The following is a 26,344-nucleotide window of genomic DNA, read 5'->3' on the forward strand; positions in this document are numbered from 1 at the left end:
TCCTCTGAGGACTGGGACGGCAGACCGAACTTTCTCAGGTACCACGAGAAAGCCAGGAGAAGGCAGATCTTACCAGTCAGCTGAATTAGTGTCTGATGTTGGATGTTCCAGTTGGAATCACCAAAGGGCTTCCCGAACCGGCATGCGTGAGGAAGAGAGAGGGAGAGGGAGAGAGAAAGAAGAGGGAGAAAGAGGGAGCAAGGGTTAGGGAGCGAAATACCCATCGCTGGTGGTTGGAGGTGGATTCCTGAGACCTGAGGGTTTTGAGAGCCCACTGGGGAGTAGCCCCCGCCCGAGCCTCGCAGTCCCCTTCAGATTAGTTGTCCTCGCACAAATTGCTGGAAGAGTGAAGTGAGAGAAAAGATGGGGTGCATGGCCAGAGACTCTCAGGATCCAGGAGTTAACTCAGGACAAGCTGCCGCTGCCCACTGCTTCCTGGGTTGCAAGAGAGCCTCTGTCCCCAACATCTGTCCCGGGTTTCAGCACCAAATGTAAGTGTTAAAGAGGAAAGAAACACGAAAAGCAGCTCAACAGTGAAAAATAGGTTTATTTTGGACAATAAACCTGAGAGGGCCTTCTGGCCAAGTTAGGTCAGAGGCACTCTCTTACGGGCTAAGAGTATTTAAGCGTTCAGGGTGGGAGAGCTTATCACAGGCTCGAAATGTTTCTGTGTGTCTCTTTGTCTTGCTTATCTGGAAGGGAGAGTTTTGTGTCTGTTCCCCATACATCTTCCTGCAACTGCAGGCATAGCCCCCACGTCTGCTTTTAGCTTTCCTATCTTGGTGCACCTAAAGGGAAACGAATGTGCTTATTAGGACCCACTGTTCTACTGGGGCACATGGTATGAGTGTGAAGTTTGGTGCTTACCCAAGAGACTTTCCCCTCTCTGTCTGTGCCCAGCTGTGTTATCTGTGTTTTACTATCTGCTCTTTCTGGCTGCTGCTTGTTAGAATCTCGAGAAGTGATTTCCTTGAAATGCAGGAGGTTAGAAAGGGAGCTGGCACTGAAAGTGGCAGTGTTTGTCCAAGATGAAGGTGCTCCTGCTCTGTCAAGGAGGAGGAGTTACTTCTGCGGCAGGATGAGCCCCAGGATAACCTCGGCGAAGCAAGCCACACCATCCTCTTCCTGGGTTTTCAGGCGCTTGGGGCTACCAGCCCGTCCTGAACCCAACACAGAGCTCTGAGCTGGCCAGCTGAGGGGGCCACATCACCGGACTCCCGGAGGCAGCTGCGCTTGCTGGGACACCTTCCCACATTCTGCTCTGGTGGTACCTGACCTTGTGCCAATCCAGCACCATGGACCCCCTTCCCTCTTCCTCCCACTGCCCATCACAGTTCTCACAGTTTCAGAGATGCCAGCGTGCTTTGGAGAAGTCAGAATGATCCGATATTTACTAAAGGCTTTGGTTTGGCTTCCAAGCTCAGTGTGCTTCTGAGATCACCAAGCGCTTCTGTCTGCGCAGGCCACTTCACAGATGCCTAACTGCTTCAGGGGCTACAGAGCACTTTGATTACTTTGCAATACAAAGTCCAGAGCTGTCAAAGCGCTTCCGAAGACCACAAAGGGCTTTAAGGTCCACACATGGCTGCTGGACCCATGGGCTCCCGCAGCTCGCCCACCTGCCCTGGGCTGGAAGGGGCCCAAGCGCCCCTCAGAGCCAGCCGCACCCCTGAAGGCTGCCTCCGGACAGCCCACCTGGCTGCCGAGGCCCAGACACCCGCCCTGCCTGCCCCGTTGGGCCGCCCACACTGTTCTGCCCTGCCTGACCTCTGCCCAAGATGACACCACTCTGACCTCCCCAGCGCCTGCCCTCTGGTATGTTTTTCTCTATACATACATACCTATGATAAAGATTATTTGTTAGGCTAATAATAACCAATAAAATAGAAAAACTATAACAATATATTATAATAAAAGTTGTGTGACGTGCTCTCTCTTTTTCAAAATATCCTGTATTCTTATGATGATGATGTGAGATGCCCCAGTCCCTGTGTGTGGGATAAGTGAGGGGAATGGTGTAGGCATTGTGACATAGGGCTAGGCTGCTCCTGAGCTTCCTGTGATATGTCGGGAGGGTCACGCAGCCATGACAGTGTCGGTGGTTGTGTGTCAGGAGCAGATGATGTGGCCGACTGACGGGCGAGCCACGTTTGCAGCCGGGGTACACAGGACAAAGGGGTGGCACACATCCCTGGGGGGATGGTGCAGGATGTCATCGTGCTATCAGATTGGCATGCAATTTAAAACTTAGGGAATGCTTTTTTCTGGAATGTCCCATTTAACGTTTTCTGACTGCAGCTGATTTCAGTTAACTGAAACTGCAGAAAGTGAAACCATGGGTAAGTAGGGACAGCTGTATGACTTGAACTGACACATTCGTTTTTGCTTAAATGAGTTGTGGAGAATCCACAATTCTACTGGTCTATGATGAAAGATGAAAAAGACCATGTCCTTTTCAATTTCTCCTTTAGAGAGGGGAGACCTTGTTGTAGGAGTGAATCTTGGGTGGCTCCTGGCTTTCCACTGTCCACCGATGCTCTGCTGTGTCCACACACTTTCAAGCCCTATGCCCGCTCCCACGCTTGCTCTTTATGAGTGCTTTTGTCCTGTAAAATGGCCCCACAGCAGAAGCCTAGTGTGGTAGCAGCCTGGTTCACATGAATAGGACTTTCACGGAGTAGCTCCGTTTCCAGGTGTGACTTCGGAGCCCAGCATGCCTAGTTTCATGCCACAGTGACCCAAGTGAGTCACCCCGTCTGCTCCAGTCCCCTGTCCCCAATTCCCTGTCATCTCAGCCACCCATTTTCATTTTGAAAATCAATCTCATGGAAGTTTCTATTTGCTTTTATTGCTTTCTTTGTTTTCTTGTCTATTTCCTAGTACTCATACGTGCCATTAAAAAGGTGACTGGAAAAACAGCTCTTAAAACTGCAAGAGAAATAGTATATAGGGTTTTGTGTAATAAAAAATACTGCAACTTTCCAATACTGATAAATGTGGACCCTTGGTAGGATTGTATAGTTTTTTCATGTGAAATATGAAATTCAGGATTTCTCATAAATTTAGGATTGCTTTGTAAAAATCCTTCACTGTTGGTAGGAAGTAGTTTATATTAATAAGTAAAAAAAACAAAAAGTCAATAAGAAAAAATGTAAAATAAAAAGTAAAGGTAGTTATTAATCTATAATTATTTATAATGTCAATTTTTAGAGTTAACGAATTACATGATCCAATGTACCAGTATCGAGTTGATACCGGAAATTTTCAGGTAAGGATTGTTAATGAGGCCTGCAATTTTTCTTCTTAATGCTGTTTTGTAAAATTACTGAATTTTGTGACTTAAATTGTTCTGTTGAGCTTTTTGCTAACTGACTACTTGGGAAGGACTACATAGAAAGTTCAAGGGTGGAAGATTTGGGGAAATTTTTTTTTTTTTTTTGAGTTGGAGTCTTGCTCTGTCGCCCAGGCTGGAGTGCAGTGGTGCAATCTCAGCTTACTGCAGCCTCCGCCTCCTGGGTTCAAGTGGTTCTCCTGCGTCAGCCTTCTGAGTAACTGGGACGATAGGCGTGCGCCACCACACCTGGGTAATTTCTGTATTTTTAGTAGAGATGGGGGTTTCACCATATTGGCCAGACTGTTCTCAAACTCCTGATCTCAAGTGATCTACCCATCTCGGCCTCCCAAAGTGCTGGGATTACAGGCGTGAGCCACTGTACCCGGCAGAAAAGCTCTTTAAAACAATGTTTTTACTCCCAGTCTTTGGTTTGTGGCTGACGCAGTTTGAGGCCCTGTCACTGTGGTTCTGGTCGGCTGCTCTTCCTTCCCAGTCAGGTGTCGGGGAGAACCAGCCATGTGGGCTCTGGAACAGACCCCAGGGCCCACGTCTGTTGCTGAAGGAGACACCGGAGAGCAGAGCCTTCTCGGTGCTAAACACGCTGGTCTAGTCCAGTCCCTTTGCTTTACGTAAGGTCCCAGCTAAAGTCACTTAGGTGCTTTTGAGAAAAATGATCCCGATTCCTGCTGTGCTGTCCTGTGCTCTGAGCCTTGACTGTAAGAGGGGAGCTCTGGCGCTGAGAGGACAGGAAAGGGGTGGGGGGATGGCGTGGGCCGGAGCCATCGAGGAGCGGGGACTGCGTCTAAAGACACTGTCCACCCCGCGGCCTGGCCCTTGTCAGAACCCACGGGCCTGCCCTCCCCATCACAGCTCCATCTTCAGAAAAGGGCTTTGGCTTGCTGTGACATTACAGAATTGTGCACTTTTAGACCTTAGGTCCTGTAGGGCATTTAATTCAAGCCCCTCGTGTCACAGATAAGAAAACAGAGGTCGGGAATGGTTGATGGTTAAGACGGCGCGTGGATTCCCAGGGCCTAGCCTGGGTCCTTTCTTGGACACCTGCCACCTTCCCACATGCAGGGGCAGGGTGGGGAGCCAGCCCCTCGCCCCCAGGGGCGAGAGAGACAGATAGTGGCCACCGCAGTCTGAGCACCCACTGTGCCTGGACAGGTCCCTGGTGGGAGGGGTTTGGGCTCTGCTCCGCTGATTTGCAAGGCCTGGGGTGTCGTCCACCTCAGGGGAGCTGCCTGTGCTCGCAGCGGGACTGAGCAGATGGTCCCGGCTGGGAGCCCATTGTTCTGCTTCCTGGAGGGACCTTCAGGGTTGAAGTCCCTTCTAAAAACCTGTGGCTTTCCTGCCTGTGGTGGTGCTGGGAGGAGAAGGTCACAGAGGCCCTGTTCCGACTCAAGTGCTGCCTTGTGTCCTCCTAGGGAATGAAGGTCTTCTTCATGGTGGTGGCAGCGGTGTACATTCTGTACCTCTTGTTCTTGATAGTGCGGGCGTGTTCCGAGCTACGTCACATGCCTTATGTGGGTAAGTGCTCCTTTCAGAATCGGTGCAGGGGTGGCTTGGGAGTGACTCAGGTGGGGGAAGAAGTGGTTGGAGTCTCCCAAGCCAGGGGCCTTCCTTGAGGGCCCAGGGACTGGTCCATTCCCACAGGCTGGGGACCAGGGCACGTGGTCCCTGGGAGCCACAACAGGCCTTACAGGTTACTCTGGCATTTGGGACCATCAGAGTGGCCTGGGTCCTGCGGGACTGTACCCTGCAGAGCAGGGCGAGTCACCCTGAGCTTGCGGGATCCTTTCCTGAATCTGTCCCCACCAGAGGATGGTGGCTGTGGCCTCCCTGGACACCATCCTGGCCCTGGGAAGGGACCAACGTTCTCCTAGGCTGCTGGCGACTCCGGCTAAGTCTGGAGGGAGGAGCATTTGTCCAAAGAGCTTTGCTTAATTTTTGTTTTTTATTTTTCAAAATAAAATGCAAGTGGAATTTACTTCCAGAGTTGTTAATGAGTTTCTTTCTTTTTCAGATCTCAGGTTGAAATTTTTGACTGCATTGACTTTCGTAGTACTTGTCATTAGGTAAGAAGACCTTATTTCTTGAAAACAGCAAAACGGAATTTTTCTTTTACTGTCAGGAATATCTGTTGCCTCCTTTTGTGGAGTGGATTTCAGGGTACTTCTAGCCCAGTAGACTCATGAGGTTAGAGGGCCTCCCACCAAGGCTGGGCAGCCGAGAGCAGCCGTCAGCCTGGAGAGCATGTTTTTGTTGTAAGCGGCCGAGGACTGGAGCACGTTCACTTGCACACTCGGCCCGCGCTGGGCATGTTCTGTCCTTGCTGTGCCACCTGCTATGTGTGCAGCGTGCAGTCACCAGCTGGAAGTAAGGGCACTGGGGACCTCGGGATCCTTGGGGTGCCCCAGGGACAGGACTCTAAGCGAGTTAGGACAGCAAACACCCTTGAGCAGCATGCTCCATTGCTGCCATTGGGGGAGATGGGAGGCGAAGTGGGCTTGGTCCTGTTGTGTCAGGGAGTGGCGTCAGCCTGAGGTCTCCCAGGGCAGGCTCGGCCTGGCCTGAGTGCCCCAGACCTCCCTGGGGACCGGTGCTGGCCAGTTGGTAGAGGAACAGAGCGGTCTGGGAAGTTGTTTATTTGAATCGATTCCAGGTAATTGCTTGGTGGTTTATGGTTTGTCTGTTTCTCCTAAAATCAGAATCCAGAGGAGGAAAAAATCTAGCTGCTGCTTGCCTTTTTAGGTTGTTTGGATGGCAAATAAGCGGATGTTGGCCCTTTTCCTTTATGAGTGACAAGGGGCCTCTGGGAGGTCAACCCTTGTCCAAGCTTTCCAGGTGGGCTCTGGGAGTCCCCACCTTGTGGAGGGCGAGGACTGAGATAGGCATCCAAGGTCGTCCACCACCACTAGGAGTGTGAACTCAGCTCAGACTTGGACTTGAACTCAAATTTCATTCAGCATCAAAAGTCACTCAGAATAATGCTGCATGTGTGTTGTATTAGTCTCTGTTCAGTGCTAGGTGTGCACGTTGTCTCTGTGACGTCTCATACACATGGCCATACAACCTCACAACCTCACATAGAGGCTCACTCACACCTCACTCATGCCTTCACTCACAACTGACCCACCCTCACACACACACCTTCACACACACCCTCATTTTCACACATCCTCACACCCTCACTCTCACACTCTCACACCCCCACACCTTCACTCACACACCCTCACCCTCATTCTCACCCTCATTCTCACCCTCACCCTCACCCTCACTCACACCCTCTCACACATCATCACTCACACACCCTCACTCTCAGCACACCCTTACAGCCTCTCACTCTCACACATCCTTACACACACCCTCATTCTCACACCCTCACACCTTCACTGACACACCCTCACCCTCACCCTCGTTTTCACCCTCTCTCACACCCTCACACACCCTTGCTCACACACCTTACACCCTCACTGTCACACATCCTCACACACACCCTCACTCTCACACCCTTACACCTTCACTCACACACCCTCACCCTCAAATTACCTAGTCCCCAAGTTGGGAGCTACTGTCTACTTCTGGTGGCCTCCGTCTCGGAAGTTGCCCTGCCATGTGATCTCTCTTCACATAGGTGTTAGGGGACTCATTTATCCTACAAATAGTTACTGAGTGCCTGTCCTGGCAGACAGGCTTCTCTCTGTCACGGGATTTATGTTCACACAGAGAGAGACGAGTGGCAAACAACTAAATACATTCCCCCTGCGTGCCATGCTGCAGACGAAACAAGGAGATGTGACTTGCAGAGGGGAAGGGTCCACTTTAGATGAGTGGTTTGGGGATGTATCTCTTGGAGAGGCGACATTTGGCTGAGGACCTGAGGAGGAGCCCTGAAAGCTGTGGGGTGGCTGCCCCAGGCCGCAGAACAGGGCACCGGCAGCCTGGGTGGGCGTCAGCATGGCGAGGTGGAGAGACAGCTGCGTCGCTGGAGGCCAGCGTGGCTGGAGATGAGCAGGCGTGGGCACGGCAGGAGGCAGAGCGAGCTCTTGAGTCCAGTTTCCATTCTGTGCTGGGAGACCGCCAGAGGGTCTTGAGCTGGGAGGTGAAAGGGTCTGGTGCACATGTTAAGCCTTCTGGCTGAGGGTGGCATGTGGGAGGTGAGGTGGAAGGCAGGTGGGGGAGGAGCCTGTGGACCTGTGTCCCGAGGCCTCTGTTGTCATCTGTCACCGGCTGGGAGTCTGAACCAAAGATGTTGCCTTCGCTGCTGTGCAAAGTCACTGGAACTGACCGGGGAGGCGTCCCTGTGTCTGAAAGGGGAGCTGTGACGAAGGAGAAGCAGGCTTCCCTCGGGAGAGGGGCTCTGTCACAGGAGATGGTCTCGAAAACCTGAGTTACAAAAGCAAGAGCAGGGAGGAAATGTGCCAAGGAGGCTTCAAGGCCCCGAGTAGGGAGAGTGTGATGGGGCCTGCAGCAGGGTTCATCCTGTCCCTGCAGCCGGCCGGTGGGTCTAGCCCACCTAGATCCGAGACCAAAAACCAGAAGCAGGGGCTGTGTGTGTGTGTGCATGTGTGCATCTGTGCGTGCATCTGTGCATGTGTGTGGAAGTTCCCATGCAGAAATCATAGTGTACAGACGGAAAGCTTGAATGGGGTGAATAGAGAATTCTCTGAAGCTAGTGCCGTTTTCGTGCATGTTTACATATTGTCTCTGCTCCTCTGTCTTGTTCAGCATCGCCATCCTTTATTTGAGATTTGGGGCGCAAGTACTACAAGACAATTTTGTAGCAGAGCTGTCAACTCACTACCAGAATTATATCCTTTTCACTGGAGGGCCCTGGCTGCAGGACGCCTGCTTAGCATTGCAGCAGTTAGTGGCTCAGATTTGCCCCTCTCAAGAGGAGACAGGTCAGCTCCTCGCGCCCTGTTCTCCGGAGGCCTCGTCTCTGCTGAGAGGTGTCTCAGTTGGCCCCGCTGCAGCCGTGGGAAGGGGCAGCCTGTCCCTCCTCTGTACACAGGAAGCTTGGCTCAGTAGTTGCCCCAGGTCAGGTTTCGGGTGGCAGAGCCCGGCTCCAAACCCAGAGAGGCTGGCGCTCTGGAGCGTGCCCACGCCACGCTGCTTTCCACCCAGAGGGGCAGGTGCTGTGAGGTAAATGAGGTGCGGTTGCCTCTCCACACCGCGGGGCTCCAAGCCCCTACTGCCCTCCAGCAGAGCACTGTGGGGTGGCTGAGGGCTGCCGTGAGCCTCCTGTCTCCCCCCGGGATATCTCTCTCATCATCACGGAGATGTATCCAAGGGTATGACAGTTGTGGCAGGTTGAGCCTGTGTCTGTAGGGAAGAGCTCAGAAAATACTGGGACCCCCTTCGATTCCCGCTGTGCCTGAGGCCAGTGGCGCAGGGCTGTTGCCTCCCGGGAGCCCTGGCCTCGCCCAGAAGTCGGAGAGGTTAGGTATGTGCTTTCCACTCTTTGTTGGGGACACTTCAAGAGTTAATCCTTTAGATCCTGGGTTCTTTCTTTGGGATTTCTTATGTCCCAGTTAATGCATGAATTAATATACGATTTTTTCAAAGTTTTGTGACTGAATTTCACACTAAGCTTTTATCTGATTTTCATAGGGGTCTGTAATCCAGAAATGTTCAGAGCAATTGGTTTGAGAGTTTGTTTCCAATTCTTTATTTCATTATTGTGTCTAGAGACCTTGATTCACCGTATGCCCGTGGCCTTCCTGCCCTTTTCATGTAACTTGATCTCTTCTGGCCCTGCCCTCGGTGCTGGTGACAGGAGCGCCACCAGATGGCTCAGTGGGTCCAGGTTTCCACTGATGTGAGAGGCCATAGTTCACCTGTTATTTACTGTGACCTCGAAGAGTGCTTGTGACCCCTGGCTGTGGGCTTGAACTGTGGAGTCCTGACGTCTGGGTAATGGACCCCCGGGCACTGGCGGGTGCTTGGCACTAGAAGGGGCTGCTGATGGCGGGAGGAGTGGTCGGGCTGTAGGCAGAGCCTCTGACTGATGTGTCCAGATGCCGCGTTCCTTCCCTTGACAGCACCACCAGCCGAGTTCTTATCTTTCTATGGCCTGTTGAACTTCTATCTCTACACCTTGGCCTTTGTATATTCTCCATCGAAGAATGCCCTCTATGGTAAGCCACCCTGGGGTCTGGACTGCTGGCCAGTTAGCGGGCACAGAGGCCTGTGTTCATCCACGACCCACTTCCCGGGTTTCCCATTCATGTGGGCGCTGTGATTCCCAGTGACTTCTCTTGGCAGAGAGAGAGTGAGTTGAAATGTCGAGCTCTGAGGTGAGTTGGGGCCCAGCATATGTAGAACCTGCGTTGTGTCATTCCCACAGAGTTGACACACTCATTTTATTAGTGTCAGTCCCCAGCTTTTGCTGTTCAGTTTGGGATTTTTTGACTTTACAATGATGCAAAAGCAATGCACATTCAGGAGAAATCACACTTTGAATACCCAAACAACCATTCTGTTTTTCACTTTCAGTACAGCATTCAGCAAATTCATGAGAGAGTCACCATTTATTACAAAACAGGCTTTGATCCTTTGATCCCAGCACTTCTGGAGGCCAAGGCGGGAGGATTGTTTGAGGCTGGGAGTTTGAAACCAGCCTGGGGAACAAAATAGGGACCCCATCTCTCCAAAAATTTAAAAATTAGACAGGTGTGGTGACATGTGCCTGTAGTCCTAGCTACTCGGTTGGCTGAGGAGGGACGGTCGCTTGAGCCCAAGAGGAGAGGCTGCAGTGAGCTATGACACCACTACACTCCAACCTCGGTGACAGAATGAGACCCTGTCTCTTAAAAAAAAATTAAATAAAATAGGCTTTGCATTAGATGATTTTGCCCAACTATAGGCTAATGTAGTAACACTTAAGGCAGAATAGGCTAAGCTGCAATGTTCGGTGCCTTAGCTGTAGTTGATGCGTTTTTGACTTCACGATATTTTCAACCTGACGATGGGTTTATCAGGACATAACCCCATCGTAAGTCAAGGAGCATCTGTAGTAGTGTTGTTACCATTAAAAAAAAAAAAAGCCAAAACATACAAAAAGTCACCTAATAGTGAAACCAAAACAACCCTCTTGCACAGGGAATGAAAAGGATGGGAACTCTCTAGAACATAGGCAGCCCCCCGCACCCCCCGACATCTTATAGTGGGCTAGCACTTGCCCAGCACCTTCACAAACGGCGTCTCACTTAAGCTTCACAGCAACTTTATGATAAACATATAATCATGCCCGTTTTACAGAAGCAGCAGCTCGCTGCACGTCCAAGGACTGGGCGGGGGCAGGCAGGGCAGAGCCACCTCTCCTGGGGCCTATGTTCAGCTCCCCACTCCTTGTGTCAACAGGAGGCAGCTCGTGCGTGGGCAATGGCAGCCTGCCTGCTCCTTCCCACAGGCCGCCTCCCTCAGCCTTCAGGACGTCCCTGCCAGGCAGGCCAGGCCAGCCCTGTCTTGTAGATGAGAAAACAGCCTCACGAGATGTGTTCAGGTTTATACAGACATGGCAGCTCTGCGATTTGAGTCCAGTTCTTTCCAACTCCCTTCCTTTGTCCGGGACAGCATCCTGCCTGTCCAGGCTCATCACGTCAATTGCTTGAGATGCAAATGCTCTTGTTGGTTTTCAGAGTCCCAGCTGAAAGACAATCCTGCCTTCTCCATGCTGAATGACTCGGATGATGATGTGATTTATGGGTAAGTCCCTGTCCGTTAGAAGGCCGGCACACCTTGGGCATCCCGGCACGGCCTTGCATGTTTCTGAATGGGTTACTCTTCTAAAATTATTTTCAAGGTATGAAGGCATTTACCTTGGAGTGTCAAGTGGCTCGTGGTTTTCTGTTTTCACAGTATTCAGGCTTAGATGTGGTAGTAGTCCTTTCTGCTGGCTACCTGTAGGGCGTGCTGGCCACGGGAAGAACTGTGCTTTCTGGACTGATGGGCCCTGGGAACTGGGGGTCAGGGAGAGGAGGACGGGGTGAGCAGTAGCAGTTGGTGATAGAAAATTGAAAGAGCGAAGCTATGATTTAATTCCTGCTGGAATGGTGTGTCAGTGTGGAAGAGGAAAATAAAGAGCTGTCAGAAGTTAGACGGTCTCAAAGGTCTCTTTGCTCACAGGAGTGACTATGAGGAAATGCCGCTGCAGAACGGCCAGGCCATCCGGGCCAAGTACAAGGAGGAGTCAGATAGTGACTGAGCCCCGGCCAGCCCAGCGAGGCGACAAGATGCCTGGATGCTTTCCCCGGTGACCGTCTGCTGACCTTCCCCTGTTATATTCAGATTTTTCTTACAAGCAGAGATTTCCTGTTCATTTGTTTACATATTTTTTTAAAGGAAAACCAAAACTGAGGGTAAATTTAAATGTTTAGCCAAATTTATTGTCATGGTGGCTACGAGAAGAGGCATTGATAACAAGTTTCAACAGCCAAATCCTTTTTTACAGAGATTTCAGATGAGCGTGTTTTCAGTGATGAGGAAATTTCACGTTTTTAGTACAGTGAATTATGTACTTTTTTTTCCTGTAATCATTCACTGATTCCAAGTTCACGGGCAGCCTGTGACTAGGTCCTCAGCGTGACAGCATCACCCTCTTTCTTCCCTTTTCCATGGTACTGTTTTGTGACCCTTTAAACTCAAAGGGAAGCCTTATCTGTGGCTGCTTCAGGGCAGTCCTTCCTCGTTGAGTGGCCAGTGCCCTGGGTAACCAGGTGGCTGAAGTGATTGGTCAGTTATGTGGACTGCGTTTTGTGCAGTGTGTGAGTTATGACTCATCGGGAATGGGAGATGCTGGGGTTCCAACCCTTCACGTCACCAAAGGGGAAGTAATAGTGTGGAGTTCTGAGGAGGGTTTGATAAGTTGAATAAGGAAAGGCTAAGATAATTTACAGGTTACCAACTCATGTGGGGAAGGTCTTACTGCCATGGTGCTTTTCAGGGGCCTGTGTGTACACACATGATTAAATGGATTTGCCTGTGGGAGGTATGGGCAGGAGAGGAACCCTTACCATTCCAGTAAATAGCAGTTTCTGCAATTCTGTTGAATATGAAATGCCATAGAGCTTTATTTATTTATGTAAGTAAAAGCTAAATGAGGGGCCAGGTGCAGTGGCTCACATCTGTAATCTCAACACTTTGGGAGGCCAAGGTGGGAGGATCACTTGAGCCCAGGAGTTTGAGACCAGCCTGGGCAACACAGGGAGACCCCGTCTCTATAAAACATTTAGAAAGTTGGCTGGGCATGCTGGGGCATGCCCATAGTCCCAGCTACTCAGGAGGCTGAGGTGGGAGGATTGCTTGAGCCCTGGAGGTCAAGGCTGCAGTGAGCCATGATTGCACCACTGCACTCCAGCCTGGGTGTCAGAGCGAGAACCCGTGTCATAAATAAATAAAGCTACATGAAAGATTGATAGAATATTTTAGATTATTTATTGGCCAAAAGTTTTTAAAACTCATATTTGGAAGCAAAATGAAAAGCAAGTAAAATGTTTTAAATGGTTCATGGAAAACGTATTTGGGTAGAAGGCAACTCGTGCTTCCGGAAGGGGTTCCCTGTCCTCCATGTGTCCACATGGCGGTCAGGTAGGGACGACCTGTTCTGTAAAGTCCTTGGCACTGCTGAATCTGTGGCATCATAGAAGGCCCTGGAGCTTCCCCGTTCCTTTCAGTCAGGGACTCCATATAGAGTCTCATGTGGACGTCTCCCGTGCTTTCCTCTTGACCTCTACAGTCACACTTCTGTTAACATCTGGTAACTGTGGGCAACCTGACTGATGCCGTCTTGGCAATTGAGGTCCAGAAGATGATAGTTCCGCAACGCAAGCAGTACCTACTTTTTTTCTTCATCTATGCATTGACTCTCAGATTACCATGCAGAGCTTCACGTTATCATCCACGTTAAGTAGTGCTAGGTAGGACCTTAGAGATGTTCATGAGAAACTATTTGTTATGACTTTCCTTTGTATCTTTCCTTTTAATTTAAACTTTAATGATAATGTACTTTTAATATGGATTCTATTCACATTTGTTTTAAAAACCTTGTAAATATGAATGTTTAAGACAACTTACTGCAAGGGTAATTCAAGTTTACATGATTTTTAAATTTGCAATGATGTTTTTTTTATTCTGTGTATTGAAAAAAATTTTCTGTTACCAAATTTTACAACTTCTAATAAGACTACTATAACTTTATGTAAACTGATGAAGATGTGCTGATTAACATATTCTGTGATATGGTTTACAACTTTTAATCATAATTGTCCATGATTTTGGAATGCTGTTATTTATCAGTAAATGTAAAATATTTGAGGCATTTAGCCATACACACACTAGAACTTTTTAAAACTTTGTCCTATAGTGTAATTATAAACTGATGACTATTATCTTCATACATTGAGTCTTCATGCATCAATGAAATGAAAAATATAGGATTATTTATTTACTTTTTGTAACTAAGTGGGAAATAAGAAAAAAAGTTAGAAAGTACTTAAGGGGAAAATCGTTCTTACTAAGTCATGTATTTTCAACTTGTCTTCCCTGGTATATCATAAATACCGACATATTACATACCCCATGTAAAATTTTGCTTAAACTCTCTAGCACTTGGCATGTAGAATATGTACCATAGGTATCAGGTTAAAACACTAAAGTCTGCCAGAAACTTTTGACAGTAGCAAGAAAATTGTTGAAGAAAAAATAAATTATTTACTGAGGGTAGTTATGTTAAAGTTTTGCGAACTTAAAGGGCTGACTTTAGTTCCTTCATGGTAATGGCTTGAGTAACATCATCTTTGGGATTTTTTAAATACTGGTCCAGTCTAGGAGAACCTGGAAGATGACCAGAGGTATTTCAGTTTCCCTAGGGAGAGCTTCGTTATCCATGTGGATGATAAGTCTGCTTGATTTATTATTAAATCATTATAGCAGTGAAGTGGTGCCATTTTCTCTCTCTTAAGCCCCATTTGAAAGGCTAGAGAAGGGGATATATATACTATGTTCAAGGTTTGTAAGGTTGTTAATGTACATAATTGCAGATTGCAATAAAAGCTTAGATACATTTTGTAAACCCAACCCACTAAATGAGCAGGTTACAAGACAAATGTCACCAGCCTCAAGTATTTTATGAACTATTTACTGAGGGTAGTTATGTTAAATAGATTATAATGTGGTAAATTATTTCCTGAATCCTTTATCACAGGAAAAACACAGACCCTCATAAAAGGGATAATTAAAACGGATGTGTCTGAACATTTAGTGAAGATGAGACTTAAAACATGAAAGTGTATTTGTGTATTTTGAGGGTTTTAGAAACCGGTTGCCTTAGAGGTTAGACTTTTGAAGAAAAAAAAAAAAAGATACAGATCTTTTCCCCTGGCCAAAGGGAAGTTGTATTAGTCTGTGACATCTTGTGATGCTGTTTATCTTGGTTTGACATTGGAGATACGCTAGTAACTGTGATACCATACTATAAAACAGAAGAATTTTCTGCTACTAAAAACTGCCTTTTTACAAAATGACTGTAAATATTTGTAAAATAAAATAACACTAAACTTTAAGCCCAAAAGGAGAGATAGAGCCATGTGTTCAGTTGTGGACCTGTCCGTGGGGCACAGTGCCACCCCATCACAGTGTTGCTGTCATCAGGCAAAAGTGAATGTTTGTTTATGGCAAATTCGTCTTTTGCGAATGGCTTAATTCTGACACTACCTTTCTGGGAAATGTTAATAAATTTTTAATATTCACTTCTATGTGTCTTGATTTGTTTGCTCTTTGTGTGTGGAGTTAATTTGGCCTTGCAGACATAAATGCTTTAATAAAGCGGCTTTGGAGACAACGGCAGGGCTTTTCCATTTCAGCAGGCAGGCACGGAGGTATCTTTATTGCCATGTCTAATGTGGCCTGGGGAAGAGCACTCAAGATGGAGACAAGGCGTGGGTTTGGGCCCAGCTCCCAACTTGGATGTGTGACTTTAAACCAATCAGATAACCTCCAAACACATTTTCTGAGATTTTTAAATGACTGCAAATTGTTGAAGACACAGAATGAATGATTGTGAAAACCATTTTGTAAGCTCTGAAGTACTAAGACAATTTGTGAGCCCTACAGAGAACACAGGATTAACAGTTAAGGTGTTACAGCTTTGGGCCAAGTGTGAGTTAGAGCTCTCTGGCTAAGAGAATAGAAATTGGTTTGCCCACCTCCCACCCCTTCACCTCTAGAAGAGGAGGGCTTAAGAATGGGAGGTGTGATGCCGAGGGGTAGGAATCTAACCAGAACCCAGCAGAGCCGTCAGGATCCTGGTCCCACGGGTAAAATGAGTACATCATGGAGAGGACCACAGCAGAACTTTTTTTTTTTTGGTTGTATATATATATATATATATTTTTTTTTTTTTTTTTTTTTTTTTTTTTTGAGGCGGACTCTTGCTCTTGTCACCCAGGCTGGAGTGCAGTGGCGGGAACTTGGCTCACGATCTTGGCTCACTACAACCTCTGCCTCCTGGGTTCATGCCACTCTCCTGCCTCAGCCTCCCGAGTAGCTGGGACTACAGGCGCCCGCCACCACACCTGGCTAATTTTTGGTATTTTTAGTAGAGACGGGGTTTCACCGTGTTAGACAGGATGGTCTTGATCTCCTGACCTCATGATCCGCCTGCCTCAGCCTCCCAAAGTGGTGGGATTACAGGTGTGAGCCACTGCGCCTGGTCTGGTTGTATAGATTCTGTAGCCACTCACTATGAAGAAATCGTTTATGATACTATGCAGACTATGAAGAACACAACAGACTTTAGATTTGAATAATTTATTCTAACAAAAGTATAAAGTATGGAAAATTAGTGTATTTGAATCATTTCAGAGAGTAGAGCAAGTTTCACACTAGCAGATTTCAGATTTTAGCACCTTTGAAATGAAATATTCAGAGTTAAGACAAGTGGCAACGCAGGCTGCAGGTGACCTACAGGGATACTCATCTGACTTCGGTGCCATTCACATCACAGTGCGGTCATTTGGTTTTTTCCTCTACATTGTGAAAGTGCCACAAAACAAAGAGAATGAGAAAAGAGTTCACTGAATTCATGGCTGGTGGTTAGAGGATGAACTAGAGACAAAAGGAGAAAGGCCATAGGCTGGACTGCAGGTCAAATAGACAGTCCGAAGGCACTGACGATGCAGTACATGGTCTTATTCTCCCATCGCACAGTGCAGCTCCCTGCGGGAGGGAAGAGAGCAGCATTTACGGCAGGGAAAGCTGGGGGACGACGTTTTACTCACAATAAGGCCAACATTCAAGTACCCATCTCTATGCTACACAAAGAACCTTGGCAAGTCTATTATTAAATGTTTTAAAAGGTGATAAACATGCATTGCATTCAAAGATAGGAAACTTCCAGTCATATATTTCACACAACAAAACTTCACAAACATGAATGAAAATCATACCGTCAGTAGAGCTGTCCCAGAAGCAGGAACTTGCTGTGTGTAATCCAGCTCCATTCTTCTGCATAATTACACAGGTCACTTAAGTTAAAACAAATTTTTGTTAGAGAAGTCTACTGGGTAACACAAATGTCATTCTGTCCACTTTTAGCAAACGTACAATGTATGTAGCTCCACGTGGTTGATGTTCTCGATAAAAATTATAGGGACAGATTGCCTTGTCTCACTATATTGACAAATTATAGGTGCTCCTTGACTTACAACATCCCATAAACCCATCATAAATCAACAATATATGAAAATGTAAGTTGCAAATGCACTTAATACCCTGGTAAATCCATCAAAGTTGAAAAATTCTAAGTTGAGCCACTGTCAGCTGGGGGCTGTCCACACTTCCTCTATGCTTCACTTGTTCTAAAAGCATCTGATGGGACCTCCTGTAAGATCCCGCTTCACATACGATCTGCAATTGTACCAGCAGCCAAATGGTCAAGCGTACGCTAACGTATACTACACACACGACCGACTCCCACCAGGAGCCTTCCTTGAGTTGAGCCACGTTAGCTGTTGTTTCTGGTACTGGATGCCCCTCTGATCAGTGTTAAAAAACCATCCCGCAAATATAAAAGAAACAAGACTCCATTACCGATGTATTTAAATGGTTTTCCCAGCTTGGTGAGTTGGCTTAAAGTTTGTTCTACTACATTTGTGGTCCACTGGTTCACTTTGCTGTGTTGATAAGCGTTACCACCAATTGCGCTTTCTATAGCCTAGAAAACAAAGCACAAAGCGCGTCCCGGTTAACCAAATGCACCCACACCACCTTTCAATCAGGAACTGACGGCACCCCAAGAAGTGATTTATGAAAAGTTTATTTTTAATCATGAGGGTGCCTTTGCAAATATACTTTTAATAGCATTATATTTCATTTAAATAAGTTTGAAATTTGCTTCAAAAATTCATAGTCTGTCAAATTATTTACACATTTTGACCTAATAATCACATTTCATGTTCACTACTATTAATACATTTTTTTTCCTGTTGAGGCTAGAAAGTATTTTGCCTATTCATTTCTTAAAAGTATATTACTTTTATCTACTACTACCTAACATACACTAATACTATATATTAGATGAATTGTATTTGTACAACTGACAATATACAAAGCTATCCAAATAATCATATATTAAAAAATACTTTTATCCAGCATTGTCTGAGAACATGTTACCACATTAAGTGCATTTTTCAGATAACTAAAAGCCCTTTATATTCCAAAACTTATTTTAGGTTTATGATGAGATTTTTTTATTTTTACTTTTCTGAGGCAGGGTGTCATGTTGCCCAGGCTGGAGAGCAGTGATGGAATCTTGGCTCACTGCAGCCTTGACCTCCTGGGCTCAAGCAATCCTCCCACCTCAGCTTCCCTCCTGGGCTCAAGCAATCCTCCCACCTCAGCTTGTCCAGTAGCTGGGACTGCAGGCATGTGCCACCACGCCTGGCTAGTTTTTTGTAGAGATGGGGTCTTGCTCTGTTGCCCAGGCTGCTCTCAAATGCCTGGGCTCAAGTGATCCTCCTGCCTCAGCCTCCTAAAGTGCTGGGATTACAGGCATAAGCCACAGCACCCAGCCCAACTTTTTTTCTTTATTATACGTTTACTTCTTTATCTATGCTGTATTCTTTGGGGGTTATCTGACAATGCAAGCTCATTGTCGCTGCTCTTGCTAAGCTTATCATTATGATATTGCCATTGTATGATTTTCTGAGTTTTTCATTGTCAGCTCCCCTTTCACATGGATGCCAGTGTGCTTGCATCTCAGCAACTTTATTCTCTACCCCTAACTTGCTGTGCTGGAAACCAGGAACCTGAGTTTCTATGACAGTTATGACCTAAAGTGAAAATAACAACATTCAGTGAGGGCCAAGGTCTGTCCTCAGACAGGCAGAGCAAACCAGCAGTCCAGGGATCTGAGCTGTGCATGGTGGTGATGGACTGGGATCTGATGCCTGGGGCTTAGATCTGGCGACCTTGCTTTTGAGGACCTAAAACCTCCCTAGGTCACTCTGATTTCTACCCACTGACCTGCTGATCATCTCCCTGAGACTCTTGAGTAGTCACGTTACACATAGGGCTGGCTTACTTCTTGTCCTCGGCCACTGTGCTCCCTCCCAGCTCAGAGGCTACAAGAGGGCTGGGGGGCCAGAAGTCCCGGTTTAAGAGAACAGCAGTATTACTAGACCTGGGCATTGTCAAAGGGTAGGGGGGGCTTTGTTCAAGCTAAACCTCTCCCGTCAAAGGGTGGGGGAGGCTTTGTTGAAGGTAAACCTCTCCCTCCGCCAGCTCTCCCTCCGCACATACTTTGAAATTCAGTTTTTCAAGGAGGAGGGAACCCTCCACCAATTTTGGACCTGCGCAAATTGACTACTACCCAATATTTAGGGTCACTTGAGTACAGAATTACCTATTGCGGCGGCAAAAAAGCTGTTGAGGCCAGTGACACAAGTTCAAGTAACACTGCAATGTCACCTCATGTTTCCATGTGGATTGGAAATGTGTTTGTTTTGTTTTGTTTTTTTAAGACAGAGTCTTGCTCTGTCGCCCAGACTGGATTGCAGTGGCGTGATCTTGGCTTACTGCACCCTCCATCTCCCGGGTTCAAGCGATTCTCCTGCCTCAGCCTCCCAAGGAGCTGGGACTACAGGCATGCGCCACCAAGCCTGGCTTATTTTTGTATTTTTAGTAGAGACGGGGTTTCACCATGTTGGACAGGATGGTCTCGATCTCTTGACCTCATGATCCGCCCACCTCGGCCTCCCAATGTGCTGGGATGACAGGTGTGAGCCATCGCGCCCAGCATGGAAATGTGTACTTTCAATTGCACTTGCTAATTGAAAGCTGGTAACCAAGTCAAAGATAAGGCAGAAAACAACTGCGGCAGAACTAGACTTCCCAACAAGCCCCCTCCACTGTTCCCAGTTCTGGTGTAATCCACCCACCTTCCTGCCCCCTGCTGTGTTCCACGTGAAACTGTGTATTTAGAAAAACCATGAAAACCAAACGTACAGATCCTGCAAAGCAACCAGAAAGTCACTCCTGATGCTGAACAATGTAAATGGTCAAACAAAATCATTTTGCCTTTGGATACTGATCACAAACATAGGTTGCGGTTTTTTATCAAACACTAGTCAATAATTTACATTAAATTCTAAATTACATCTGAAACCCCAAACAGTATCATTAAATTCAGATCATCTAATAGTTTTCTTTTAGCCAATGGCTTTAGTATCTGTGCCCCATTTTACCCAGGGAAGGCAGGGAAGCTGATGAGGAAAACTCTTTCTGGCTTCATTCCTACCCTAGGTAGGAATGAGCCCCTAGCTCTCAGCACCGCTCCAGCCACACCCACCTCCTTTCACTCCCTCACACACCATGCACTGCCCCCACTTCCCAGTCTCAGGGGGCCTTGTCCCCTCTTTTTACTGCATTACCCCTACTTCTCATTCTGCAGATTTCAGCTCGAAATGGTCCCTGAACTCCCTGGGTGGGTCACATTCCCAGTTCAGTGCTCTCACAGCACCACCACTAGTGGCACTTACCACACAGCAAATGCAGGCTGACACCTTCCAGCAGGACTGTTTGATGTGTCTGCCCTGCCTGCCCCTCAGCTGTAAACTCCAGAAGGGTCTATGCCCTGCACGCTCCCTCAGTGTGTACTTTCTGAATGAGTAACAAACATCCCTTCTGTCTCTCTTCCTCTTCATGATCAACAACACAATAAAGTGTGAAATTTAGGAATGTAAGAAAAGTAAGCAAATAGGCCCCAAACTGGATCACTAGGTCCAGAATAACTGGAAATTGATTGTTCAATTTTCTTATACTCACTCTTTCTTCATTCAACCCTGGAGACATTTATTTGTATACCAGGATTCTTTTATGCTTAAAAGATTATAGAATCAAATCTTGGTGATATGCAGTAATAATGCTATGTACATAAAACTCCTTATCTGATTTAAAATATGTAATTTACATAATATAGAAGCAACTCTTATCTAGCTATTTACTGAAGTAAAAACTGTTATTTGAAACACCAAAACACACAGACTCAGTCGAAACAATTCCAAGATAGTATTTAAAACACATTATTTTCTCTAATATAAGCCATTAAACATTTAAGAAGTGAGCATTTCTCCTCTTACCTCTTTTACAATGTTGCTCACTTCATCAACAACAAAAGCAGTCTGTAAGGAAGAACATTCAGTTAAGTTTGATTTATTTAAAAGATATTTCCACTACATTGATAAATGCAAATGTAGGTAATGAACATAATGTAGAAATGAAGACCTTAGAAATAATCTAACTAGACTGTTCAGCTTTACCAAGGATGGCATTACAGTCTTCAGAAACCAGAAGACTAGAATACATGCACATAATTTAAAGGTATTGTTTTATTTTTATTTATTTATTTTTGAGACGGAGTGTCGCTCTGTAGCCCAGGCTGGAATGCAGTGGCGCAATCTCAGCTCACTGCAATCTCTGCCTCCCAGGTTCAAGTGATTCTCCTGCCTCAGCCTCCCAAGTAGCTGGGATTACAGGTGCCCTCCACCACACCCGGCTAATTTTCGTATTTTTAGTAGAGATGGGGTTTCATCATGTTGGCCAGGCTGGTCTCGAACTCCTGACCTCAGGTGATCCTCCCGCCTCAGCCTCCCAAAATGCTGGGATTACAGGCGTAAGCCACCACACCTGGCCCTGTTTTGTTTTAATCATGCCACAATCTAAGACTTCACTTTAAACTAGAATTCATTCTCTTCTTCCATTTCAACTGGCTGCTAGAATCATTAACCAATAGAGAGGCTTAATGAGTTGGTTGATTTTTGTATAAATTAACTGAAGCTGCTGAAGTAATCCATTTAAGATGTAATTCTCTCTTCCATGATGTAAACTGATTAGGAGGATCAGTTTGACCTTGAGGAGATTTTTTTAAAGCACCATTACTTGTAAAATGTACGATGATTACATTATCTCCAGGTAATTATTTTTCTTTCCCAGTGCTGCCCTCCGACTCCAGGACTAACCACCAGCTGCCAGCATGGCTGTTCTCTGTCAGTGTCTGGATGACTCAGGAGGTGGGCTGCCTGCAGGAATCTAGTGCCAGGAGTATAGTTTTCCTTTTACACATGGTAGATCTGAATGGGTAAAAGGTCATCCTGAAAATAACATTAGTCAGGCACTTGCCTGCCAATGTGCTCTTCACATGAGCACAAGCGTTTAAAGTTACTGCTGAGTCCCAGGAAAGGTACGTAGCTCTGGACACGCCTTCGAGAGGGCAACCCCTGGGGCCCTCAGTCAACGTGCATCCTGAGGGAATCAAGGCAGAGAACCCTGACTTGGCAGTGAGTCTTCCTCCCTGTCTGGCTGCTGTCCACTGCAGGCCCTGCCCTTTCTTTTTAGGGGGTTCAGGAGCTGACTGCCCGAAGCCACCTCACTTGCTGTACTCAGAAGTCGGACTTGGAAACAAAACCAACTCACTGAGTGAAGAACAATTTGCAATATCTTAGAGATTAAGTCATTTCTGGAAGCTTAAAGGATCCTTCCAAGTGACTACCGTGACCTTAATCACAAAGGAAAGGCACTGTATCACCTCCCATATGGTTACAGTACGAAAAAGGTTGAGGGACATTTTAAAGAATTTTTAGTGGAAAGCAGAGTTGTATTGAATCCAGTGGATAGTTTTAACGTCTCCAAGAAAGATGAATGGTGAGTTGAGAGAATAGTTACAAAGGCCCAGGCATCTACACGAAGTTAGAAGAGATGCAGAAAAGGCTGCTAAGAGGCTGGTGGGAGGACCAGAACGGGCCATTCAGTAAATACCTAAGACATGCCTACTACAAGACAGCCATGGTCTCCACCTCCCAGGGCCTCCATCCCAGGTAGAACACTCATCACTCTGTCCAGCCCCTTCATTTTACACATATGCGATTGAGATCTCGAATAATGAAGCCACTTAGCCACCTTATTTGTGGGAGTCAGAATCGGACTGCAGTATTAAGCGCTTTCCTTTACAAAGCGATTTCTTTTTTAGAAGTTTTACTCGATATTACTGTAATACAAGACATTTTCCAATATTATATTAGTAACAGTTTAAGGGGAAAGGCTTTTTTCTTTGCCAACTGCTCCTGAACCAGCTCTTCTCGTCATTATTCACTTGGTTGCCATCAGCATTCAAACACTGATTATGCCACTGTCACAGGAAGTGTGTGCTAGTTAGGAAATCAGATCAAAACTGAAACTCTAGAATCAGTCCTTAAGTTTTAGTTTTATTTTCCCTGAAAACATTCCTCCTTAAACGAAATTTTTTTCTTTTTTTTTGGTTTTTGAGACGGAGTTTCGCTCTTGTTGCCCAGGCTGGAGTGCAATGGCGCGATCTTGGCTCACGGCAACCTCTGCCTCCCAGGTTCAAGGGATTCTCCTGCCTCGGCCTCCCGAATAGCTGGGATTACAGGCATGCGCCACCACGCCCGGCTAATTTTGTATTTTTAAAAGAGACGGGGTTTCTCCATGTTGGTCAGGCTGCTCTCGAACTCCTGACCTCAGGTGATCCGCCCGCCTAGGCCTCCCAAAGTGCTGGGATTACAGGCGTGAGCCACTGCGCCCAGCCACTAAATTTCATAAATGGTAAGATATCCAACCTTACCAAATGTATCTATAGTTTATATTTTTGACAGGCTGCATAATAAATCCATAGGGCTCTATCTGAATTTCAACAAGGATTATTCAGTAAGAAGAAAATGAGTGTTGTATCTCAGCTGCGCCCATCAGCTCTATTCCCCGAATGACCGTGAGCTTGAAGGAAAGCCATTTAACGCACACGGTGCCGATGGGTGTCTTCTGCTTGGCGACATCGTGGGCTTTATCCTACTTCCTCAAGGAGGCATAAAAGATGATTTTTTCCCCACAACAATGAGCTTTCTTACAGACATATTAAACGGAAATGAAATGTGCTACTCATTCCCAGCGTTGCAGAACCAGGTGAGGCCCGAGACAAAGGCGCGGGATGGCCGGGACGCCAGCCCGGGGCGGAGGGGCTGGCGGCGGGAGCGTCACCCGCACCTCCGCGGGGAGACGTCCAAGCCTCGGCGCTCCCAGCCCGGCCGCCGCGCCCCGCTCCAGGCTGGGGCTGGGGCTGGGGTCAGCCCCGCAGAGCAAGGGGCGGTGATGTCATCCTCTCGGCGAGCTTGGCTGCGGGCCGGAGGCGAGGCCCTGCGGGAAGGTTTCTCGGCACCGCTCACCGGGGCGCTCTCTCCGAGTCACGCCCGGTGCCTCCCCGCGCGGGAAGAAGCTCAATCCCCTTCCCGCCCCCCGCGCCGGGGAAACGGCGGCAATGTCCGGGCAGAATGGGGCCGGGCGGAGCGCCGGCGACCGGGAAGCTCAGGCCGTGGGCTGCCGAGACTGGCCTAGCTGAAGGAGGTGGGCAGCCAGGCCTTTCCGGGCAGGACCGCGTGTCCTTCCGCGGCCAGGGCTCTAGGCCTCCACCCTTCCGTCGCCGACCCGGCGGTTACCTCCTCCGCAGCCTGGTAGTCTTCCATCTTTCCTCCGGCGCGTCCCCTCCGGCTCCCTGAGTGGCGCGGACTGCGCAGGCGCACTCAGGCCCCGCCCCGGACCTGCCACGCCCCTCTCCTCTCGCGCCTGCCTCGCCCATGCCCAGCTCCCGGGCCCCGCCCTTCGCTGCCCGGACCCTCAGTGACCCCATCCCTGGGCGGGGCCCGTGGGTGGACCCTGAATTCGCCTCTCCTCCTGTCCTCTGGGAGGTGGTAGTTTCCATGGGAATCCGTGAGGGTAGCCGGGCAGCTCCCTAAACCTTAGCAACAGAAACAAAACACACGTACAAAAGGCAGTCCTGGAGGGGAAGCGTGGTCCCGGCCCCTCCTCCGGTTTGTACTGTGTGGATTGACGCGGACGTTCAAACCCGCTCGGACACCTGGCAACAAACTCGAAAGTGACTGCTGAAGGCAGTGCGCCCGGTGAGACGTTGTTGCAGTTCCCTTGGGGACTGGGATTGGCATGCTTTAGCTATCTGAACGAAACTTCCCTTTGGGGAGTTAAGTTTTCCAGGTAAATGAGAATTTTTCCTTTAAGCACCATTAAAAAAAAACATTTTGGGTGGAAAATTTTGTAAAATGTGGCACACTTCCTGACTACCTTAACCATAGTGAACTAGACAGACTTTATTTGTATGTGGGTTCTTTATGGAAATTAGGAATTGCACTGGGCTCTGGTAAACTGCCCTCCACGGAAAGCTGGGGCATATGCATCTATTGGCAGGTATTCTGAGGCTCCGAGTTTTGATTTTGGCGTTTGCTTTTTCTGGTTTCGTCATGCACTTGAATTCAGGTTGCTGGAACCCACTTCCCATTCCCCAAGAAAGAGCTGACTGCAAGGGTCCCAGGGATTTGGTAGACCTAAACTTCAAATCCCACATCTAATCCATCAACAACCCTTGTTATTTCTACCCCATATGCTCGGGACCCCAGTTAAAGATTGATATCTCTCATCTGGATTATGACCATCGGACTGTAACCTGGTCGGTCTATCAGGGTCTTATTAGAGCCCTTCAAGAGGAACCTAACCCAACGACTCCTCCCTCCCCTCACCCATTCTGCCCTGCCATAAGTCAATAGTTACTAAGTTGTCAGACTATAGACTAATCTTAGTGATCTTTGGATGACTAAACTTTTAACATATCTTAGCTCAAAATCTCCTACAGAGAGCCATTCTGTGACCACGGCATCTAAGGTAGCCGACCTCCTCATCCTCCACCCCTGCATCCTGTACATTTTCCTCATAGCACTTCTCTCAGTTTGCAAGAACGTATTTATGGTTGCTTGTTGATGGTGTGTCTCCATTTAGAAACTAAGTACCATGCAGGAAGGATCTGTTTTATTCACTAATGTATCCCCTTCCTTCCACATTGTGCCTGGCACATAATAGCTACACAATTAACATTTATTTATTTATTTATTTAGAGACAGGGTGTCATTCTGTTGCCCGGGCTGGAATGCAGTGGTGTGATCGGAGATTTTGAGCTAAGATGTGTTGAAGTTTAGTCATCCAAAGACCACTAAGAGCTTGAACTCCTGGGCTCAAGGTATTCTCCTGCCTTAGCCTCCTGAGCAGCTGGGATTCCAGGCACTAGCCACCACACCCACCTATTTTTTTAATATGTCTTTTGTAGAGATGGGATCTCACTGTGTTGCCCAGGCAGGTCTCAAACTCCCGGGCTTAAGGGATCCTCCAGCCTCAGCCTCCCAAAGTGCTGGGATTATAGCTGTGAGCCACCATGCCCGGCCTAAAATTTATTGCATGAATCATTTCCCTCATGGGTGTTAGCTTTGCCTCAGACCCAAATGGAGAGAACTGGGGAGTGGAGGAAGATGCAACTACCTGCCTCCTTGAGGGAAACAGGGCTGGCGAGAGGAGGGCAGAGCCCTGACTGACACAAGGCTGCTTGGCCCTGGGTGTTCGGCCTGAGCGAGGAGACTTGCTGGGCAGGCTGGTTGCTTT

General features: G+C 47.6%; 3 protein-coding genes across 23 annotated transcripts in view, besides 6 other annotated features; 2 read left to right on the top strand and 1 right to left on the bottom strand.

Moving 5' to 3' along the window:
• Positions 1-15,090, top strand: part of TMEM181 (transmembrane protein 181) — a 98,790-nt gene extending 83,700 nt beyond the window's left edge. For 10 of the 13 annotated variants that reach the window (NM_001376817.1, NM_020823.2, NM_001376855.1 and 7 more), the window contains 7 exons: positions 3,211-3,268; positions 4,765-4,867; positions 5,364-5,415; positions 8,069-8,151; positions 9,391-9,480; positions 10,984-11,050; positions 11,471-15,090. In NM_001376817.1, coding sequence (NP_001363746.1) covers positions 3,211-3,268; positions 4,765-4,867; positions 5,364-5,415; positions 8,069-8,151; positions 9,391-9,480; positions 10,984-11,050; positions 11,471-11,549 — 532 coding nt within the window. In that variant the 3' untranslated portion in view covers positions 11,550-15,090. Of the gene's footprint in view, positions 1-3,210; positions 3,269-4,764; positions 4,868-5,363; positions 5,416-8,068; positions 8,152-9,390; positions 9,481-10,983; positions 11,148-11,470 lie in introns of all 13 variants that reach the window. The other 3 variants (XM_011536000.2, XM_047419183.1, NR_164859.1) reach the window with 2 other exon arrangements.
• Positions 10,204-10,705: an enhancer, noted in NCBI's record as "H3K4me1 hESC enhancer chr6:159051575-159052076 (GRCh37/hg19 assembly coordinates)". NCBI's record gives its function as "activates a minimal SCP1, AML or CMV promoter by ChIP-STARR-seq in naive H9 embryonic stem cells {active_cell/tissue: H9 hESC(naive)}" and the evidence as "EXISTENCE:reporter gene assay evidence [ECO:0000049][PMID:30033119]".
• Positions 10,706-11,205: an enhancer, noted in NCBI's record as "H3K4me1 hESC enhancer chr6:159052077-159052576 (GRCh37/hg19 assembly coordinates)". NCBI's record gives its function as "activates a minimal SCP1, AML or CMV promoter by ChIP-STARR-seq in naive H9 embryonic stem cells {active_cell/tissue: H9 hESC(naive)}" and the evidence as "EXISTENCE:reporter gene assay evidence [ECO:0000049][PMID:30033119]".
• Positions 11,884-12,045: a silencer, noted in NCBI's record as "fragment chr6:159053255-159053416 (GRCh37/hg19 assembly coordinates)". NCBI's record gives its function as "represses an EF-1alpha promoter that drives an FKBP-Casp9 reporter gene in an ReSE screen in K562 erythroleukemia cells {active_cell/tissue: K562}" and the evidence as "EXISTENCE:reporter gene assay evidence [ECO:0000049][PMID:32094911]".
• Positions 15,091-16,134: 1,044 nt separating the features above from the next.
• DYNLT1 (dynein light chain Tctex-type 1) lies at positions 16,135-24,404 on the bottom strand. Of its 3 annotated transcripts, none has more exons than NM_001291603.2 (5): positions 24,343-24,404; positions 20,980-21,021; positions 17,432-17,555; positions 16,789-16,846; positions 16,135-16,558 (listed from the first exon to the last, which is right to left on the bottom strand). In NM_001291603.2, exons 1-4 carry the CDS (start codon positions 24,367-24,369, stop codon positions 16,791-16,793), a joined length of 249 nt encoding a protein of 82 aa, NP_001278532.1. In that variant the 5' UTR covers positions 24,370-24,404; the 3' UTR covers positions 16,135-16,558; positions 16,789-16,790. The 3 variants fall into 3 exon arrangements, with proteins under 3 accessions (NP_001278532.1, NP_006510.1, NP_001278531.1); NM_006519.4 differs by having other exon boundaries at positions 16,789-16,866; NM_001291602.2 differs by lacking the exon at positions 20,980-21,021 and having other exon boundaries at positions 16,789-16,866.
• Positions 23,775-24,718: an enhancer, noted in NCBI's record as "H3K27ac-H3K4me1 hESC enhancer chr6:159065146-159066089 (GRCh37/hg19 assembly coordinates)". NCBI's record gives its function as "activates a minimal SCP1, AML or CMV promoter by ChIP-STARR-seq in naive and primed H9 embryonic stem cells {active_cell/tissue: H9 hESC(naive and primed)}" and the evidence as "EXISTENCE:reporter gene assay evidence [ECO:0000049][PMID:30033119]".
• Positions 23,842-24,171: a silencer, noted in NCBI's record as "silent region_17740". NCBI's record gives its function as "represses an Ori minimal core promoter by ATAC-STARR-seq in GM12878 lymphoblastoid cells {active_cell/tissue: GM12878}" and the evidence as "EXISTENCE:reporter gene assay evidence [ECO:0000049][PMID:35858748]".
• Positions 24,332-24,561: a silencer, noted in NCBI's record as "silent region_17741". NCBI's record gives its function as "represses an Ori minimal core promoter by ATAC-STARR-seq in GM12878 lymphoblastoid cells {active_cell/tissue: GM12878}" and the evidence as "EXISTENCE:reporter gene assay evidence [ECO:0000049][PMID:35858748]".
• The window catches only part of SYTL3 (synaptotagmin like 3), a 119,936-nt gene continuing 118,188 nt past the window's right edge, over positions 24,597-26,344 (top strand). For 5 of the 7 annotated variants that reach the window (XM_006715606.4, XM_047419556.1, XM_011536254.3 and 2 more), the window contains exon 1: positions 24,597-24,895. The gene's annotated coding sequence lies outside the window, so the exon portion shown is untranslated. The remainder of the gene's footprint in view (positions 24,896-26,344) is intronic. The other 2 variants (XM_047419552.1, XM_047419557.1) reach the window with 1 other exon arrangement.

The sequence above is a fragment of the Homo sapiens genome, chromosome 6, assembly GCF_000001405.40.
Source record: "Homo sapiens chromosome 6, GRCh38.p14 Primary Assembly".
In the NCBI taxonomy this organism is placed as follows: Eukaryota; Metazoa; Chordata; class Mammalia; order Primates; family Hominidae; genus Homo; species Homo sapiens.

Coding starts and splice junctions, on each gene's coding strand:
- DYNLT1 (NM_006519.4), bottom strand. CDS start 24,369: ATGGAAGACTACCAGGCTGCGGAGGAG. Junction 21,022..24,342: donor ACTACCAGGCTGCGGAGGAG/GTAACCGCCGGG, acceptor TCTTCCTTACAG/ACTGCTTTTGTTGTTGATGA. Junction 17,556..20,979: donor TGAGCAACATTGTAAAAGAG/GTAAGAGGAGAA, acceptor TTTGTTTTCTAG/GCTATAGAAAGCGCAATTGG.